Source organism: Homo sapiens, chromosome 1 (genome assembly GCF_000001405.40).
Source record: "Homo sapiens chromosome 1, GRCh38.p14 Primary Assembly".
NCBI classification, from domain to species: domain Eukaryota; kingdom Metazoa; phylum Chordata; class Mammalia; order Primates; family Hominidae; genus Homo; species Homo sapiens.
Genome location: NC_000001.11, coordinates 92,179,028 through 92,185,027, shown reverse-complemented (window position 1 = coordinate 92,185,027; position 6,000 = coordinate 92,179,028). Strand labels below are relative to the sequence as shown.

At 33.9% G+C, this 6,000-nt stretch overlaps 1 protein-coding gene across 5 annotated transcripts in view; it reads right to left on the bottom strand.

The window, feature by feature from the left end:
• Nucleotides 1-304: 304 nt before the first annotated feature.
• BTBD8 (BTB domain containing 8) overlaps nt 305-6,000 on the bottom strand; it is a 104,379-nt gene continuing 98,683 nt past the window's right edge. For all 5 annotated transcript variants that reach the window (XM_047418461.1, NM_001376131.1, XM_047418464.1 and 2 more), the window contains 2 exons: nt 2,433-4,763; nt 305-1,164 (listed from right to left, as the gene is read on the bottom strand). In XM_047418461.1, coding sequence (XP_047274417.1) covers nt 698-1,164; nt 2,433-4,763 — 2,798 coding nt within the window. In that variant the 3' untranslated portion in view covers nt 305-697. The remainder of the gene's footprint in view (nt 1,165-2,432; nt 4,764-6,000) is intronic.

Here is a 6,000-nt window from a genome sequence, read left to right as displayed (position 1 = left end):
GTGCAGTTCCAACATATCCCTAACATGGAATGGAAAATGGAGAATGAGTGACTACCTGTAAAGGAAGTCTATGCTTTTGAACAAGGGCAGATTCCCTTCTGTGGATATATCCCCAAAAGAGAGAGACAGGAAATTCCATTTCTCTTGTTTTAGTAATGATGTGGTTGAAATTTGAGATGTACTTGCTTCAGAATTTCCTGGGCCTGAATTGTTGGGAAAGCTAAGATTTTCCCCAGCACTCAGCTATCAGCCTCAATCACCTAAATGTGAGTTTGAATGTTAGTCACAGAAAACTCTACATGAATGGACACAAGCACGGTAAGTTTTTATTGTTAAATTACTATGTTACCCTATGCAGAGCAAAAAGTAAAGGGACTGATCTACTTCTGCATTCACATTTTAAATTCTTGAATAATGATTAAGTGAACAAATCATCAGCTAGGAAAGGAAAACTGAAGCTAGGGTTTCCTTATAAGTCTTCTAATTTCTCTAATAATTAGAGAAAACATGCTCAAAAACTTTAGAAAAACATTTTTCTATATGTGATATATTAATAAATAAACTATGTTTACCTCATTAAATTGGAAAGACTCAATATTAAAGAAAGTTTATATCCGGCTAATGCAATTATCATTTGGATATAATATAGGCATCAAAAAATAAAGGAGTGGCATAAATTTTTCCAAAATGTTAACACTTAATGCTGAGTTTCCAGTTCCAGAATTGTCCACTCGCCTTGAGGCGAACAATCTTCAGAGGAAAAACTAGCCATGGTGATGCTCGCTGAGGAATCAAGTGGAGATGTTAGTTCACTCCATCTGTTCAAAGTGTCAATATGTGTTATACCCTGAGGTTTTGAGCTATCTCGTGCTAAAAGTAGTGTCTGATTGATTAGATACTGTGCTAAACTTAAGTCTTCAGGAACGGAATTTGTAACATCTAAGTTTGAATCCTGTTCAGAGAGCAGTTGCTTTAGTAGTGTCCAATCTTGTTTTGCAAAATGTTGGTCATCTTCAAAATCCATATCTGTAACATGTGTTTCTGATTCCACTTTCTGCTCAAATGCTTCTATTACATCCATCTCATATATTGGAGACAGGGTTTTTGAAGGCCGATGGTCATACATGCGGGTTTGTGCCAGTGTGTCACAATCATCTATGTCTCCTGAAATAATTCATAATACTACACAATGTAAAAATTGCACGTTGGTACCCTCAGAGTTTTGTAGAATATTAACACAATATAACAGTGATAGTCAAAAAAAAAAAAAAACACAGAATGGGAAAAATAACTTCTATACAAAATTGACAAGATTTTTGAGGCATTTTTATGTGTTTAAAATTCAAGGGTAATGTTTAGAAGCAAAATCAACATAGGCAACTAACAATAATTCTCCATACTTTAATTTGAAAACTTGTGATACAGAAAACATAAATCATTTAAACATAAACATAGAATGTGCACATATATCTAATTCACTACAATAGAAAAAGAGAAAAAAAAAAGACATAGTGTTTTGATGATGACTTTTAGGGTAAGTCCGTTGCAAAAGGCAGGGATAAATACATTTCACCTAAAGGCTTATTTGTATATTGCACATGCAAAGGAAGATGCAAGCAAGGACAAACAAACGAAAAAGTACAACTTTAAAGACCTCCTTATTCTTCCGATTTTGCTGAACAGGAAACTACTGATCAGTATTTTTCTTAGTTATAATACACAATAGCTACTCAGTCAGCCACTATTGCATATTTTAAATGTGGGTCATTAGTCTGAATTACTATAATAAGGAAGACAAAAAACACAAAACAATTAGACAGAAAATCATCTAAACAATATGAAATAAGCCTGGGCTTTTTTCATATATTATCATTGCTTCTAAATATAATCTCTTAGGAAATTTATCTTTTTATTTGAAAACTTTAGAATAGACAGATCCTGAAAATTTTAATCTCTGTAAAATGTATATAAATTGTAATAATCAATCTAGTTGTTAAAATAGTTCAGTGCTTTTAGTTACATATTACTAGAGTTATTGCACAGGCCTCTTATATACTATCAAGTCTATAAATCATATCCAATGTATAATAAAATTTCTAATAGTCAAGAATTCTTGTGTTAAATTATACATAAATAACTAAATAGCAGCAAACTAAGTTTTTCTTTTTATTCTTTCATTTAAAATCTCTTAGTAGGTTAGCTCTATATAACAATCAAAATTTTTACTAGATATTACTTCTTCATTAGGATTTTAAGTGAACAATAAAGAATGAGTAATTTTCATATTAAGACATTTTTCATTTAAAATTTTAATCTGTTGCTTAAGTAATTATTCTATCTGACTAAAATATAACATTCAGGGCTTCATACAACTTTAAAATTTTATAAACTTATTTTCTTATGCATTTAGCATTTCTATTTCTGTACATTACCTGCAGATAAAGCAATATTAGCTTTTTCAGTAGTTGTAGAATGGCTCTCTTTCACTGGACCTTCCTGAGGCAGAACTTGACTCCGAAAGGAGTCTAGAGATTTTGTAGAGCTGTTCTTTGGTATGTCAGAATTGGGTTCTCTTTGATGAAGATCCAAGTGACATGGTCTTTCTTGAGATTTTACATCACTATCCAAGAATTTGCTGCGTTGCTGAATGTCATTTTCCACATTGCTTCCATTGTTTACTTTTTTATCTTCTCGAAGAAGCTGTCTGCTTCTACTGGATAGGACGTCTATTGTGTTCTTTTTTTCTGTGGCTGAAACACTCTGTTTATTTTTTCTTGAAGAGTCAATGCTACTAAGATCCAAGACAGTGCTTTCATTTTTACATACACTATTGCCTTTATTTTGTTTACATTCTAAAATATTATCTTCACTTTCTCGTGAGAATCTGGAATAGCAGGTCCTTCCATGATGTTCATGAGAAATGCCATCAAAAACATCAGAAGGTGAAAAAGAATCTACAGAAGCCTGAAAGGGAGTATGGACTTCTCCTTCATCTGATCCCAGCTCTTCACATTCATCGACTGAAAGTAAAACTGACCTTTTAAACTTTTTAGTTGCAGAAAATTCACGACATTCATTTTCAGTTGCATCTTCAAAAGCTAAATTAATTATTCCCTGAAACTGCTGAGGAGCTGGGTTAGATATAGAGAAATTTTCTGCAACGTTTTCAGCTTCAGATCTTTCATCTTCTGTTTCATCTGCTGAAGAAGATACCTGATCTATTTCCTGAGCAAACTGGACACTGCCTCGTGGAATATTTTCTCTTTCCCTAGAGTGAACTATTGCAGATCGAGACCAAATTTCTGGCCTTTTCCTAGGGATTTCATCATCACTCGTTGAATTAACTTGGAAAAGATCATTATTACTTTGCTTTTTCATTTTTACTTCAATTCTTAAATTACTATCATAAATTTTTAATTCTTCAGGAGTACTGGTATCACTGCTACTTCTTCCAAGAAAATCATGGCACAGCATAGTGCCACATTTAGAGATACCTCTGTCATTTGACCCATCATCATCCTGAGACCCTCCAGCATCATAGTCTTCAGATCTGGGCTTTATGTCATCGGAGGAGGTGGTAGCACTGCCAGTGTCAGATTCAGGACTCTCTCGCTGATGCAGAACACCAGTACTCAAATTCCAGTGACCCACAAATGGAGTTTCTGGAGTTTCATGGCTCTCTGGAGATTCTGATGTTTCCATATTTTTAGGAGAATTTTTTTCTGATAGCTGTCCCGAAAAACACTTGGAAGATACATCTGAGTCTGCTGTAGCATGTTTGTCTTCATCCATAGCAGATTCATCTGACAACTTACTAGGAATTGTCAGTCCTTCCACAGGAACTTTCGATTTTTTGTCTTCTTGAGCAGAATTTAAGGTACCATTTGTCCTTTCAGGATTACACAGTGAAACATCTTCCACACATTTAATACTTGATTGTTTGTTTGTATCTTTTCTCCCTACTTGGTTCTCCCTATCTGATATCAAATGGATTTGCCCTGCACTTGTTGAGTCTAAATCACAAACTGGATTAGAGTTCAAGGAGTTTTCATTTGGATTTGAAACCATGTATTTTAGGGCTGTGGTGCTATAAAATTTTGAATTTACATTATCACTCCCAACAGAATGACAACATATGTTAGCTGCATCGCAATCATCTGTTTCTTTGTGATTGGGAAATTTTGTTTCACTTTTATCTAAACAAATCTGTTTTGATTCCAGTTCGTGTTTTAATGATTTATCCAGCTTTGAAATATTTTGGCATTCTAACGCCAACTTCTCTTTTTCTTGATCGTTTAATGGCTTTTGTGGGTCAGGCCTGCAGGATGACTGGAGTGCTTCTGCATCACTTATTTCAGATGCAAGATTAATGAGAGGTTTGTGAGGCTTCTGTTCAGAAACACTGTCCTTGTTGTTATTATCACGCACATCATGAAACATACTTTTTTGGACAGTAGATGTTTCATGTTTTAAAGGTCTTTGGGAGGAAGGCTGAGTTTTTGATATAACCTGTCCAGGAGGCATTTTCTGTTTTGAATCTTTATTATTCAAAGTTTCACCTTTCTTTGACTGATTTAGATTTTTAGGCATTGCCACTATTTTTGCATTAACCTTAGGCAAAGCTGTGTGTACTTGCTTGACCATTTTTCTCTTAGGTGCTTGTTTCTCTGTAGTTGTATTGTGGTCCAACTTTGCCACATTTTCATCAGACTGCCTTGAAGAGACTGAAGATTTTACTGAGTTTGGTGACTCTCCTTGGGATCCTAAGAAAAGTAAGAGGGTATATTCAGTAATGTAATATCACCTCCAATTTGTGAGTAAAATTTAGTAATTTGTTTTAAAATTACTTCAGAAAAAATAAAATCAAGAACACAATGGAAGGGTAACATATCTATGATCAAATGGACAAGCACAGATTAGGAATCAGTTACATGATAAAATAAAAAAATTTTTTCAATTAAAAATATAGAGGGACTACTCCAGGGTCCCAGTAAAAATTACTAAAATAGGATCTCTCTTCCTCAAGTAAACAGACTTGATTTTTATGCCAAAACTGGATTTGCAAAAATATATGAGGGTGAAAAAATCGGATTTTCTTTTATCAAAGGAGCAAGAAAGGTCTTCCCTTTGAAGTTTTTGGAGAAAAAAAAATAGTGTGCTCTACATAGCTGAAAAGGAGAATCAAGCTAAATATAAAATAAATAGAACTGTTAAAATTGTTGCAGTTGTTTTCTTCAAACATGAATAAAACCAATTTACTTGTCATAACCAGATTATTATTACTGTAGCTCATTAGGATTAACAACTTAGATCTCCAGTGGAAACTAAAACTGCTGACTGGAAAGAAGGGGATTAATTTGGGGAATCCATTTGTTTATACTGGTGAAAGTCTTAGAGATGATATTTTGGACATTCAAATCTGCCAAACAGAATTATCAAATATTTTAAAATGTTTAACATTTAGTTATTACTAGGATATGAAAATGTTTTCTCTACCTTATTTTTAATTGATTTTCAGTAATAATTCATAATCTAAATCAAAACTGTTTTTAGCATTTTAAGAACTGCTTTTACATATGTTAATGCTTGATACATAAAAGCAATTTTGAAAATTGGTTATTATTTTAGCAAATTATGCAATCTGATCAGTACTCTTTTCGTTTTCAGAACACTGAAAAACAATGGACTCACACAGATTCTGGAAGGGAAATTCTTCCTCCTTATGTATTATAGTTGTTTAGACTGCACTATTATTATCATTATCAATTTTTTTTTTTTTTTTGAGATAGAGTCTCGCTCTGTCGCCCAGCCTGGAGTATAGAGGCAAGATCTCAGCTGACTGCAACCTCCGCCTCCCAGGTTCAAGCAGTTCTCCTGTCTCAGCCTCCCAAGTAGCTGGGACAACAAGCACACACCACCACACCTGGCTAATTTTTGTGTTTTTAGTAGAGATGGGGTTTCACCATATTGGTCAGGCTGGTCTTGAACTCCTGACCTCAG